At 37.1% G+C, this 14,946-nt stretch overlaps 1 protein-coding gene across 56 annotated transcripts in view; it reads left to right on the forward strand.

Moving 5' to 3' along the window:
• SLMAP (sarcolemma associated protein) overlaps positions 1-14,946 on the forward strand; it is a 173,705-nt gene that overhangs the window by 131,328 nt on the left and 27,431 nt on the right. For 45 of the 56 annotated variants that reach the window (XM_005265456.5, XM_005265468.5, XM_005265462.5 and 42 more), the window contains 3 exons: positions 2,405-2,464; positions 8,875-8,955; positions 9,237-9,296. In XM_005265456.5, coding sequence (XP_005265513.1) covers positions 2,405-2,464; positions 8,875-8,955; positions 9,237-9,296 — 201 coding nt within the window. Of the gene's footprint in view, positions 1-2,365; positions 2,465-8,610; positions 8,736-8,874; positions 8,956-9,236; positions 9,297-14,946 lie in introns of those variants that run through there. The other 11 variants (NM_001311178.2, NM_001304422.3, NM_001377927.1 and 8 more) reach the window with 4 other exon arrangements.

Genomic DNA, 14,946 nt, shown 5'->3' on the forward strand with positions numbered 1-14,946 from the left:
ACTATCTTATGATGTTGCTGTCTCAACACACAGCTTCTAGAGTTCCTGTGGTGGGATAAGGTGTAAAAAACTTAAACTTTCTCTTAAATGCTTTGGCCCTGGCTAGCATCAGTCCTATGAATCTTCCTCAGTGCTAGGGAGTTGGGATGTGCAGTCCTCCCTGATGCCCAAACAGAACAGGCAAACCAGATATTACTGAGTGCAAGAAATCCCTACTATGTGTACTGAGGAACAGGATTCAAGCTGTATTAGACTCACCTTCTGGTTGGAAGCTAGAAGACAGTGGAATAATGCTTTCAAAATTCTGATGCAAAAGTATTTCCTGTAGATTTGTGTATCTAGTCAAAGCATCAATCACATGTGAAGGTAGAATGCTAACATTTTCAGAGAAGCAAAATCACAAAGTATTTACCTTCTGTCCACCCCTTTTCAGGAAATTATAAGAGGATATGTTATAAGAAAACAGAAAGAGGAAGGTGGGGATATATGATGTGATAAATTACTTGGTGTGTTTGACAATATTGAAAGTTGTATGGTTCTGTGAGAACTTGGGCTATGTTTGAGATATATAAAAATTAATAAAACAAAAAAATGAAGCATTATAAATTCTGAGTATACCGAAGGCCATACAAGAAAGGAAATATAATTATAGCATACTATATGACTCATTATATAAAATAATTTTTCAATATAAATACTGATTATAGGCCAGGCGCAGTGGCTCATGCCTGTAATCCTAGCACTTTGGGAGGCTGAGGCGGGTGGAGGTCAAGAGATCAAGATCATCCTGGCCAACATGGTGAAACCCCGTCTCTACTAAAAATACAAAAATTAGCTGGGTGTGGTGGTGCGCACTCATAGTCCCAGCTACTTGGGAGGCCGAGGCAGGAGAATCATTTGAACCCGGGAGGCAGAGGTTGCAGTGAGCTGAGATTGTGTCACTGCACTCCAGCCTGGTGACAGAGTGAGACTGTCTCAAAAAAAAAAAAATAGTGATTATAGATTGACAAAATGCAACTCTTGAGGATGGTAGTAGAAAATGGCAAAATTTAACCGTGTAAAATAGATTCTCAATAAATATCTAAAATGGAAAAATAAAATCAATGTATTATTTAGAAATATAAATGTAAGTATCAGAAGAAATGGCTAAAAGTTGTAGGAAGTGAATTTTAGGAATGGAGTGAAGTAGGACAGAGGACAGGTAGGACAGCTTACATTATACATCTTAATCAAAATCTGTTACTTTCTGTTTTTTTTTCTTTTTTTCTGTTTTTTTTTGAGATGGAATCTCGCTCTGTCATACAGTGGCGCCATCTCTGCTCACTGCAAGCTCCGCCTCCTGGGTTCACACCATTCTCCTGCCTCAGCCTCCCGAGTAGCTGGGACTACAGGCACCCGCCACCATGCCCAGCTAATTTTTTGTGTTTCCAGTAGAGACAGGGTTTCATCATGTTAGCCAGGATGGTCTCTGTCTCCTGACCTCGTGATCCACCCGCCTTGGCCTCCCAAAGTGCTGGGATTACAGGCGTGAGCCACTGCGCACGGCCCCTCTTTCTGATTTTAAAAAGTCAGAGACAAAGTGCCACATACTGCAAAGAGCCTATGAGAAATGAAAATTAAGAAAAGGAGCCATGGGCATTGGGAGACTAGAGGCTATAATGATATTGGAGCAGTTTCAATGGTTGAGTGGTGGATGTAGACCAAGTTGCAGTTGGTTGTAAAGCAAGAGAATAGAAAATTTTCTTCACATATATTACAAATGAATAAATTGAAGGAGACCAACTGACATACAGGAGTAAATAAGGGGACACAGAATAGATATATCCTCTTCAATGAAACGTGGAATATGAAAATATGACTTTAAATTATAAAAAAGTAGCATTATACATTTACAGAAAATCCCCCATAAAACAAAACAAAATTTTTTTATTTCTTTGAATAGCTTTTCTAAAATGATTCATTTACTGAAATACATTATATAGGCATCTCTGCTGAATTATGTCAGCAGAGAACAGTAAACTATCGATATAACTTAATTTTTATTACTTCTTCATTTGAATAAATACCTTTTCATAAATCTTTTATTTTAACTTAATAGCCTTGATCTAAAGAGGATTGCTTTATTTCTTCTGAGCCCTTTTTATAAAAATATCTAGGCTTTTAAAATAAGGTGAAAATAAAAGGCAAATTGTCTGCCTGCCCCTAGTTTTCTGCATTAACGTGATTGCTCCGTCATAGTTCCAGTTCTCTTAGTTCCCCTTCCAGATTCAAGTTTTTATTCAAGCTTGGTCATAGGAGTAATGTTATCATCTTTAAATTTGGTCATGGAATGTGTTACACTGCCCAGCTCAGGGAAATGCTGCTCAGTTTGGGCTTGGATGGTAACGTTTATTTTCCTTGGCAGAGAAGCTGATCGTCGAAGGGCATCTAACCAAAGCGGTAGAAGAAACAAAGCTTTCAAAAGGTTTGTTTTCTGTTTTTCTATGTTTTTTGACAGTTCTTTTGGATAATGAAGGTTAGTGTATATTTTCAAGGTTATAGTATTTTAACCATCAGTTTACTTCTTATAGCTCACAAAATAGCAAGCCAGTAACAGTATCAGATAATATATAAAATAATCAGACTTCTGTTTTAAGAAGGGTATCGTAACTGGAATGTGTCTTTTTAAGTGGATGTATATTTATGGTTTTTTGAATGTTAGTACTTGATATAGGTTTCTTTAGGTATTAAAGATTTGTTGCAATCTCTGTCATTCCCAGCATTAATTTCAGCTTTGATCTCAAATTTTAATCAAACACAATGTAAGTCGTTTGTGATACAACTTAAGTGAAACATGCTTGCACTTCTATTTTGGGGGTTACAGTACCTTTAAAATCTCTTATGATGTTTAATATTTCCTTAATTTTTGGCATCTCAGTTTGATTTAAACAAAATTAATGACTTTTGTGAATGTAGAATCTTCTTATATTTTATGAGTAGTCCAGTAATTGCCCAAAGTAGTTTATTGTGTTAATTCTGTTACAGTTGTCAGAGAAGAAAAGTGAGTTTTAAAGCACCATATTGTCAAGTCACTTTTATACATAGGGAAATTAGGCAAATAAATTTGGTGGCATGTGTTTATCATAGTAGAACTTTCATTAGACTATACCAGTATAAAATTTAAAACTAGATTCACAGTCCTTTTGGCCAATTAAAACATTGAGTTACAAAAGTTTGAGATACTTAATTTTAGTACATTCTATTTTATTAAAGTAACTGGATTCATTTGACTTTTTTAACCATGTAAGAGGATGGTGTTATTTCAAATATCTCGTGGTTTCCATTCTGAATTTTGTGCACGGCAGATGCCATATTTGGGGAAAAAATGCATAGAATATGCATCATTAATATTGTTTTGGCAAACAGGCATTGAGTTTCAGAACAGTGAACTATTTTTAGTACATATGGCAATTTTTTTCACCTTATTAAAGTGAGATGAGAACAGACCTTAAAATAGCTTTTACCTCACCATCCAAATACCTATTCAGATTAGTTGGTTGAATAGCCAGCACTTTGAAGTAGAGCCTTAGGAAAAAAAAAAAAAATGCTTCTTTAATTAAAATATCTTGCTATCTTATCACTTATATTTAATGCATTCTAAATTAGAAAATATTTTCTTGAAATTATGTTTTATCATTATTGGAAAAGTTTTGTGCATTACTGATTTCCCTTTTTAATTTATTGTTTTTATCTTATTGATACATAATGTGCATATTTTCAGGATATGTTTTATAGTTTGATACATTTAATGTATAAAGATCAAATCAGGGTAATTAGAATATCATCACTTTAAATATTTATCTTTGTATGATTTCCTTTTAAACCTGGCTATAAACTGTTTATTGGAAGTTTTAAAGAACATGCCTTTTGATCCAACAATTCCACTTTTGGGTTTTTAACCCTTTTTTTTTTTTCCTTGAGACGGAGTTTCGCTCATGTTGCCCAGGCTGGAGTGCAGTGGCACAATCTCAGCTCACTGCAACCTCCACCTTCTGGGTTCAAGTGATTCTCCTGCCTCAGCCTCCTGAGTAACTGGAATTATAGGCGCATGCCACCATGCCTGGCTAATTTTGTATTTTTAGTAGAGAATGAGGTTTCACCATGTTGACCAGGCTGGTCTCAAACTCCTGACCTCAGATGATCCACCCGCCTCGGCCTCCCAAAGTGCTGGGATTACAGGTGTGAGCCACCATGTCCGGCCTGGGTTTTTAATCTTAAAGAACAAATTGGACTAATGAGCAAGAATATTTATTTCAGTGTTGTTTAAAAGCAACAAGAGGAAAGCATTAGGGTCCATTAATAAGGGTATTTATTAAATAAATTATGGCAAATAAGTCCATGTAAATGAATAGAATATATTCTTTAAGAATAATACAAATATAAGTTTTAAATACTCAGGGATTTTTCTATCAGTAGTGAACATTTTACTAGCACCTTTCACAGTTAATAGGCAAAGATATGCTAATCCTTGTAACAAACCAGATGGCTGAAATAAGTTACATTTTAAATCGAGCTATAAAGTGTTTTCTTTTGGATTTGGCTAAATTGTCTTTAATTGGCAATGTTTTTGGTGGAATTTTCTTGTTTGGACTGAAAATAGCAGTTGCCATAAATGAACAATTACCGACTGTTACCAGTCTTACCTCTTCTCTTACCTCTAGAAGATGTATCACCTAATGCAAAATGTGCTTTCTGTTTAATCTCTAACTCAACTTGCAGTCATTACATGTCTATATATAGCTTTGGAGGTAGAGGTAGAAAGAATATGTGTAGATAATTCTACCACTAACTAGCTGTACACCCTCAGGCAACTTCAGTTCTTTAAACCTCAGTTCCCTCACTTGTGAAGTGAGATTGACAAAATGTGAGCCACCACTCATGGTCTTGTGTTTCATTCTTGAATAGATTTGATTTGCCTCTATGTAACTATAGTATCAGGACACAACATTGAGGATCCATGACTTGACTTGCTAAAAACTTGCTTTCTGGCCAACCTTGGTGACTCACACCTGTAATGCCAGTATTTTGGGAGGCCAAGATAAGAGGATCGCTTGAGCCCAGGAGTTCGAGACCAGCCTGGGCAACGTAACAAGACACTGTCTCTTAAAACACACACACACACACACACACACACATACACACACAAACTTGCTTTCTTTTTTTTTTTTTTTTTTTGGAGATGGAGTCTCGCTCTGTTGCGCAGGCTGGAGTGCAGTGGCTCAATCTCGGCTCACTGCAAGCTCTGCCTCCAGGGTTTGTGCCATTCTCCTGCCTTAGCCTCCCAAGTAGCTGGGAGTACAGGTACCCACTACCACGCCTGGCTAATTTTTTGTAGTTTTAGTAGAGATGGAGTTTCACTGTGTTACCCAGGATGGTCTCGATCTCCTGACCTCTTGATCCGCCCGCCTCGGCCTCCCAAAGTGCTGGGATTACCAAAGTTGCTTTCTTATTCAGAGTAGATATATGCTTTCAATCATCCTTTAAAAAAAAATACCTACTAGGTACTAGGCACTGTTCTGTGCACTGGGAATATAGCAGTTAATGAAACAGACATTCCAGCCTGGGCAACATAGGGAGACCCTATCTCTTCAAAAAAATAAAATAAAAAATTAGCCAGATGTGGTGGTGCACACCTGTGGTCCCAGCTAATCAGCACGCTTAGGTGGGAGGATGGCTTGAGCCCAGGAAGCCAAGGCTGCAGTTGTGCCACTGTGCTCCAGCCTGGGCAACAGAGCAAGACCCTGTCTGAAAAATAAAAAAGAAAGAAAAGAAAAAAAAAAAAACAGGCAATCTCTGCCATCAGGGAGTTATATTCCAATGAGATCTTGATGGAAAATTTGGCCCTACCTTTAAGGCAACTTTACCTTCCCAGCTAATACTCTAAATATAGAGTAAGAGTTCCTTCTAGGCTAGAAGAATACTTTTGCAAATATACTTCCTATTTACCTAATATTTTAATCCTAAAATTGCCAAAAATATTAAAATCAGGGAGAGCTGTTTTCCTGTTTTCCTTTTTGTTCTTCCAGAGTGGTTCCTTTTGTAACCATATATGGAGATTAGATGTATTAGCCTCTTTTATTTGAGAATGTAACTTTGTGATCGAAACTAGAACATTCAGAAATGTCTGATTTTAGCATACTATGAATGCAGCAGCGGTCACAGATTAGATTCCCATGGGCCTCCATGGCCAGTGACTTCACTTCTAATCTAAGTTCCCCGTCACTAAGCAGTTGACCTTTGACTACAAATGGCAGTGAGAAAAGAAGCAAAGACTTCTTGAAATTCATCACCCATTTCACAAGTTAAGCCACAAATTCTGGGGGTATTCTTATATGGAATAGCCATAACAAGTTATATTTTAATGTTGTATTAAATATTTTGACAGTAATGGTTTTAGATGTGTTTCTAATTTCTTTCAAAATAGAAAATATATTTTAATTTCCTTGATTTTAAAACAATATATATATATATCTACAAATTTTTCAGTGTATGACTATGTGAAGTTAAAAAGTAAATGTCCACCATGTCCCTATCCCCAAAAATAACTAATGATGTCTCTGTTGTAGATCCTTCCAGACCTTGAATAAATATATGCAATTAAAAATTCATAGATAAATGTATAACTATTTTTAATCTACATGGGGTCATATTATACATACTGCTCTTTATTAGGCTTTTTACTTAGTAGTAAATATATCTTGAATAGTTTTCATTCCATAATATATGTATTTCATTTTCCCATAATGAACAATACTTCAGTGAGCATTATGTATCGCATATGTGCTGTGTTACTTCCTTTAGGAAAAGTACTAGAAGTGGGCATGCATGTACAAACAGTGAAATCAGGTCTGTAACATTATAAAAATATATGCTTTATAAATTTATAATCTCACTAAGGAAAGAAGATATATACATATACACAGAATAATACAAAATAAAGTATGATTAATTGAGGAAACAAAAGACACAAAGATACAATTAAAAGGAGCACCATGGTGGAGAAATGAAGACTTCCTTAGAGTTGATGGGACTTAAACTGTATATTACAGAATGAATAGGCCAAGTAGAGAAAATGGCTCTTTTGAGGTTAGGGAAATATTGAATCAAACAAATAATTGCAGGACATAATGCAGGCATGTATTAGCCCTATAATGAAGCTAGCATGACCAGAGCAGAGCTCCTGTGGGAAATAATGTAGGGACCAGATTACGGCTAAATTCTGCTATGTAAAGCTTGACTGAGGCCTTGTGGAGAATGGGGAGATAGGATTTCCATATAGGATTTCATTCAGAGAAATGACATTTTCTGCAAATGCTACCCTAAAGAATGCCATAGGCCAGGTGTGGTGGCTCACACCTGTAATTCTAGCACTTGGGAGGCTGAGGTGGGAGGATTACTTGAGCCCAGGAGTTCAAGACTAGCCTAGGCAACATAGTGACACCCCCTCTAAAAAAAAAAAAGAAAGGAATTCCATAGTATGTACAGATGTGCCATTACAGATGAGGATCTGGGGCCTAATTAATTGCCAGTCATCTTTAATAAACTATTGGGCCTATAGTTAGGATTTCTGAGGACAGTTCTTTGAAAATTAGGCCTAAGATGGCTTCATTGGACCAGGCAGAAGACCTCTTGTAAACAATTTCAAAACTTTTTTTTTCTTTCTTTCTTTCTTTATTTTGAGACAGAGTCTTGCTCTGTCACCCAGGCTGGAGTGCAGTGGCACAATCTCGGCTCACTGCAACCTCCACCTCCCGAGTTCAAGCAATTCTCTGCCTCAGCCTCCCGAGTAGCTGGGATTACAGGTGCCCAGCACCATGCCCAGCTAATTTTTTGTATTTTTTGTAGAGATGGGGTTTCACCATCTTGGCCATGCTGGTCTTGAACTCCTGACCTCATGATCCATCCACCTCAGCCTCCGAAAGTGCTGGGATTACAGGCGTGAGCCACTGCGCCTGGCCCTAAACTTTTTAAAAAGTTTTTTCTTGGCCAGGTGCAGTGGCTCATGCCTGTAATTCTAGTGCTTTGGGAGGCTGAGACGGGAGGATCAGTTTAGCCCAGGAGTTTGAGACCAGCCTAGGCAACATAGCAAGACCTCATCTCTACTAAAAATTTAAAAAAGATATCTGGGTATAGTGGCATGGTCCTGAAGTTCCAGCTGCTCAGGGGGCTGAGGCAGGAGGATCCCTTGAGCCCAGGAGGTCAAGGTTGTAGTGAGCTGTGTTTGTCCCACTGCACTCCAGCCTGGACAACAGAGCAAGACGCTGTCTCAAAAAAAAAAAAAAAGTTTTTTCTTACTGTGATTCAGGGACAGTTATCTTTAGAAATAAAAGGCTGTTAATTTTCTTATTTTAAGTGGCACTTTTTTATAAGAACTGATCGTGGTTTTTTTTTAAGAGTTTTATTATTTGAGTACAAATCTTACTAAAGCAGCCTTCTTACTAGTGTTTTTATGTAACAGAGCCTTCTCCTTTAATCATCTTTATACAGTGTCTGCATTGTCCTGGGAATTGTACTATATTTGTTGCAGTTCTTTGAATACTTTAGCAAAGCTTGCTTCGTTTTTGTTTCCAGTTGGCAAGTGGACAGCCTTGAACAAAAGCCCCAGCCCTCAGCAAAGCAGACATGATCCACATTATAATTTAATATGAGCTACGTGTAATAACCAGCATTCCATTTTGGACAAGGGTGGTGAAGAAGTAAGAGATTCAGTGACCTGACCTATTTTAAAAGTACTTTGCGTACCTGTAGATTTTGAGCATTCATAGCCTGAAGCAGTTTTATTGATATAAGATATTTAACTGTAATAAGATTTTACTTTTATTTTTTTCTTGGTAGAAAATCAGACAAGAGCAAAAGAATCTGATTTTTCAGATACTCTGAGTCCAAGCAAGGAAAAAAGCAGTGACGACACTACAGGTGAGTTTTAACCTAATGTTTACAGACCTGCAGCTGTTAATGGCAGTTTAGTTATATAGGTCAATGTGAGTGGAGATTTCAAAGTATGTGTTTGGGGAAAAAAAAAACGCTTCCATTTATCAAGTCATCCCCTTTGAATGCTGGATATTTTGTTAAAACTACTTTCAACTACCCGAATATAATAGCTGTATCAATTCCAATTGTTTGTTTTGATAACAATAGCTTGCTGATAGATCTGAATACTGTCTGTAATTATATATGTATTTTTTTCCTCTCTGTAGACGCCCAAATGGATGAGCAAGACCTAAATGAGCCTCTTGCCAAAGTGTCCCTTTTAAAAGGTACTTTAACATGTTTTTATGACATCGTAAACCAGGGTATCAAATCACCCTTTGCCATAAAATCTGTTCTAGATATTATGTGAAGTTTTAATTTTTAGTTAAGAGATTAAGATAGGTTCTGTAAAGTAGCAGGGACTAAAAATTTAAAGTTTTGGTGTTTATACCCAATATTTCAAACTATTGTTGAATAATTTGGATCAGTCAAGATTACGAGGGACAAAGTGTTAAGTGGTAGAATATGAAATGCAGCTGTGTTTTTTGTTTACCCTTGTGTCTCTAATAGGAATTTATTAGCGCTTTTAACATAATTAGAATAAGGTGAAAATCTTAACTTTCTTGAAAGACTCACCGGTTTACTCTGTTATCATATGGTAGCAGTTGTAAATTTCCTTATTTTCTGGTCTTCTTCATCTTCTAATAAATATCCCCAGGTTCTTATGACACTCTTCTAGAAATTTTGGGCTAAGAAACTTTAGGTGGATGGCCAGGCATGGTGGCTCACGCCTGTAATCTCAGCACTTTGGGAGGCTGAGGCAGGTGGATCATCTGAGGTCAGGAGTTTGAGACCAGCCTGACCAACATGGAGAAACCCTGTCTCTACTAAAAGTACAAGATTAGCCGGGTGTGGTGGCGCGTGCCTGTAATCTCAGCTACTCGGGAGGCTGAGGCAGGAGAATTGCTTGAATGCAGGAGGCAGAGGTTGTGGTAAGAGGTCATGCCATTGCACTCCAGCCTGGGCAATAAGAGCAAAACTCCATCTCAAAAAAAAAAATGAAAAAAAGAAAGAAATTTTAGATGTTGATAAGATAAGTAATGCATGTAATTAACTCTTTGTCTCACCTCTAAACAGGAAGTACATTTCTTGATATTTACTTGTTTAGAATGAAGTGGGTAGAAAATAAATCAGCATTTATAAAAATGTTTTTAAAATAAAGTTCCTTGGGGATAGTTTACTGGAAAATTGTCAACATTCAGTCTCTTTTATGTTGCCTTATTGTACACAAGAAAAATTGACATATGTTGTAAGTTCAGCCCAGTGGGTTTATTAAAAATGTTGGTAGTGGTGTACTAACACCAGACAGCTCTCTGGGATCAGAGTGACAGTAGCAGCCTGTGGAAATTTCTCTTTGTGGAAGTGCCGATTTTTCTGGCTGGACTAATAGGGAATCTCCTTGTCCAGACCCCGAGCTTTGGGATTATATAAGGAAGGAGCACTCTTACTGATTTGTACTCTTCTTAGGTGATCTTTGGTGTTGATAAGACATGCTTTTTTTCTAATGTCATAATAATAAATATAAGTTAATGTTGGTATGATCCAGAACTCTCATCTCAGAAATGCAATACCATTATTGTGTAAAATGTAGTTACTGATACTGAAAGAATGTCAGACCCTATGGGCCTTTATGGGAACGTGGAGAAAAAAGAAGGGAGGTAAATGAGTAATGAACACACCCATACAAAAGTAGCCCTCTTTATGGTCTTTTGCACTACAGAACTCTCTTTTTTCTTTTTCTTTTTTTCTTTTTGTAGGTACATAGTAGGTGTATATATTTATAGGGTACATGAGCTGTTTTGGTACAGGCATTCAGTGTTACAGAAATCTTTTCAATAGCCAACTTAAGATTGAGTATAGTGTTTATGATTGTGTTAATTGTATTCAACTATTATTAGTGCTTTTGTGATTTTTGTCAGTCTGTTTTAGATTTGATTTTTATCCCATTGCCTACCACAATGCAGGTATTCAGTAAAACTCAGATATTTGATGAATTAATTGATAATGGACTTCTTACATTAAAATTATAAAGACACAAGAGCATTAGGAAAGTAACACTAGCCACAAAGCTAAGAGCCAAAGAACTCTGGGTTCAGTCATAGGTTTGCCATTTATTTGTAATATGTCCTTGGCAAATTGCTTAACTGCTCTGTGATTCAGGGTTTTTTCATGTATTAGACTGGCGAAAACCAACTTTATAGGTTTATTGTGAAGATTGAATGAAAGGGTGTGCATGGACCACTTACCATGGTGTTGGGAACATAAAATGTTAACCACCATAATGAAGACACTGATCATGATGATGATGGTGATTGATAAAAGCAGGCCTATCTGTTGAAGGACTCTGAGTAACTCCATATTAATTGAATAAGATTGTGGAGTTTTAAAATTATTTCCTATAGTATTTAGGAACAAGGATTTGTTTGTAATGGATTTTTTCTAATTAGTAATGCATTTATTTGTTTGTTACTTGCCAGATAATCAGGAAAAAATATTTTTAATCCATGAGTAGCACCAAACAGTATCTATAAAAGTACTCACAATATAGCCTGGGAAGTCAGACTCAAGGAACAGGGAATGAAAGGGGAAAGATGTAGGAAAAGATTGGAAAATACAAGATGCATGTGGAGCTGGCGGCCTGTGTGCAGATGCTATTAGTAATTGCTTCAGGTGCCATTGATGAAGATGGGTCAGAGTTTCCCTAACCTTGCTTTACGTTAAGGTGAAAGAACTTCTAAAACTTTTCTTTACATTTCTGTATGATTGCCAACTTTTTTGTTAATGAAGTAGTATCTTTATAAATACCTGCTGAAAGATTTTGTGGCTTGATTTTATTTTTATGAATTTTTTTACTTATTTTGTTTTGTTTTGTTTTTAGAGACAGGGGTCTTGCTAAGTTGGTCAGGTTGGTCTTGAACTTCTGAGCTCAAGCGTTCCTCTCACCTCAGCCTCCCACCTCAGCTTCCCAAGTAGCTGGGACTACAGGCATGCACCACCCTACCCGACTTGTTTACTCTTTCACTTTGTTTCTCTTTCTCTCTCTGTCTCTCTCTCTTTTTGCAGCTTGATTTTAAGAACAGACTGTCAAGTCAGTCAGTGATTGGATGTAAAGAAAAATCATCTAGGTAGAAGGAGGCATATTTTAGAAGAGTCTCCAAGAGATAATTATCATAGCCCTTTATGGTCATTATTATTTTTCTTTTGTAAAGTTTCTCTTGTAAGAGTTTTACAAATTCTTAAAAGTGATGTATTACTGGTACTTTTTAGAAACATTTATGTTATGCTTGATTATGTGTGGTTATGGTTTGTATCTGTATAATTAGGTTCAATAGACTGACATAATTTTCTCTTAAAAGTATAAATTACTAGACAACAGTGTTGACCTTTACAGCTATATAAGGCAGCTACATATAAGTAGCCTCTTTATTTTCCTCATTCAAACTTTGTGCCTGACTTCCCGAACCATTATTTTCAAGTTTTTTTTCCCCTTTTTTAAAAAATAGCCAATCTTTTTCTTTAGATTTATTGTGTACGACTTGTCACATTTGTCAGCTAGGACAAGGAAAATAATAATAAACATTCATTATGAGATAAAATGATGATAGCAGTAGTACCTTTTCCCTGATATAGTAATCATTTCTATCTATTTAGTTACTTTTAAATGAGAAATAAGTTGATCAAACCATGTTTTCTGTATGCTTGAAACCATCTCCCATAAAACGTTTTTTAAAATTGGAATTCACTTCAAATCATGTCTGTTGCAAATTTGCTCTGTTTGGGGAACCTTGCCAGGGACTGCAGTGGTTTTAAAGTCTAATAAGACTGTCGGGCCGGACGTAGTGGCTCATGCCTGTATTCCCAACACTATGGGAGGCTGAGGCGGCCTGATCACTTGAGCCCAGGAGTTTGAGACCAGCCTGGGCAACATGGCAAAACCCCATCTCTACAAAAATTAGCCAGGCATGGTGGTGCATGCCTATAGTCTCAGCCACTCAGAAGGCTAAGGTGGGAGGATCACTTGAGCCCAGACGGCAGAGGTTGCAGTCAGCCCAGATCGTGCCACTACACTCTAGCCTCGGTGACAGAGCAAGACTCTGTCTCAAAAACAAAAGCAAAAATCTATCCTCTGGATTTAAGGAATTTCAAGGCAAATTAGTGATAGTACATTTTTTAAAACTTTGTATTTTCCTTGTGCCTCAACATCCCCACAAACAGGCCGTGAACACTCTGCCCTGGCAACCAGATGCACCAGTATGATAAGGCTGGTCCCTGCCACAAGTTCCCCTTCATAACCTTCCCTGGCAGTGCCCTAGTGAAATTTAACGAAATCACCTCATGCCTTTTGTTTGTGTATCCTGACCCCCAATACAAGCATTTGCCTACAGGTCCTCACTCTATCAGTTATACCTATTTGGCTGAACCCATTCTTTGGGCTTCTCCCATATGGTTCCCTGCATGGTGTACCTTGCCTCCCTCTCTAGGACCTTTGAGTATAATAAATCCTTTAATTTCATTTACCTCTCCAAGTATAATTCCCACAGCTATGTTGGAGTGATCCTTGAGGACCCCACAGGGAGACTTACTCCCTCCCCCATTTACCACACAGAGAGTTATAGATGATAAGCTGATTATTGGTGGTTGTTGCCATCAGCAGTCAAAGAAAAGAGAATGCCCAGGGTTTTTTTGTTTGTTTGTTTGTTTCAGAGGATAGAGAAGAAAGGCATTTTGAGTTTCATGGGACAAGAGTCATTTGAAATGACTCTATAAATAGTGTGTCTTACCATATGTGATATATTCAGTGATTAAGAAAAACTAAACCTAAATCTGATCAAGACTCTAGCTCCAACTGCCAGTTTGCAGGACATACAAAGAACTAGGCACATATTCTAAATGATGTGATGGGGATACAACCAGCAAAATCCAGAATGTGGAAGATTCTACAGGACATACAACCCAGTTTCTTTAGCAATTAAATTAGAAGGGGAAAAAAAGGAAAGGGGATGGGGGAAATCCTATAAATTAAAAGAGATTTAAGAGTTATGTCGGCCAGGCGTGGTGGCTCACACCTGTAATCCTAGCATTTTGGGAGGCCAAAGTGGGCAGATCACTTGAGGTCAGGAGTTCGAACCTAGCTTGGCCATCATGGTGAAACCCTGTCTCTACTAAAAATACAAAAAATTAGCTGGGCTTGGTGGTGCACACCTGTAATCCCAGCTACTTGGGAGGCTGAGGCAGGAAAATCGCTTGAACCCGGGAGGCAGAGGTTGCAGTGAACCAAGATCATGCCACCACACTCCAGCCTGGGTGACACAGCGAGACTCCATCTCAAAAAGAAAAAAAGAGAGAGAGATGTCAACTAAATATAATGTATGAACCTTGTATGAATCTTCATTCAAACAATTCAACTGTAAAATAAATTTGGAACAATGGAAAATTTTAATACTGACTGAATATCAAACAATTAAGAAATTGCTGATTTTTTCCAGTGTGATCATAGTATTATAGATATTATTTCTTTTTAGTCTTGTCTTAAACATTTTAGAGTTTTTTTATATTTACATCTATAAAATATTTTAAATGGGTAGGATTACAAGAAGAGTAGATAAAAATACCTTCTTAGAAAAAGGAAATATTAAAAATCACAAGCTAGATCAAATGGGTTTGGTTTGAGGATTGATAAGTATAATTAAAGTTTGTTCACATAATCCTTTGAGTGTTTTGTAAGATAGAGTGATCATTATAACAATTCAGTGGCTTCTGAGCACAGCAATGATATGATCAGATCTGCATTTTGGGGAGGTTTATTGAATGAACTGGAGTGGATAGAGGCTACAGGTAAGGCAGTCAAGAGGCTTAATCATTTGAGAGTCTGAACTA

The sequence above is a fragment of the Homo sapiens genome, chromosome 3 (genome assembly GCF_000001405.40).
Source record: "Homo sapiens chromosome 3, GRCh38.p14 Primary Assembly".
NCBI lineage: Eukaryota > Metazoa > Chordata > Mammalia > Primates > Hominidae > Homo > Homo sapiens.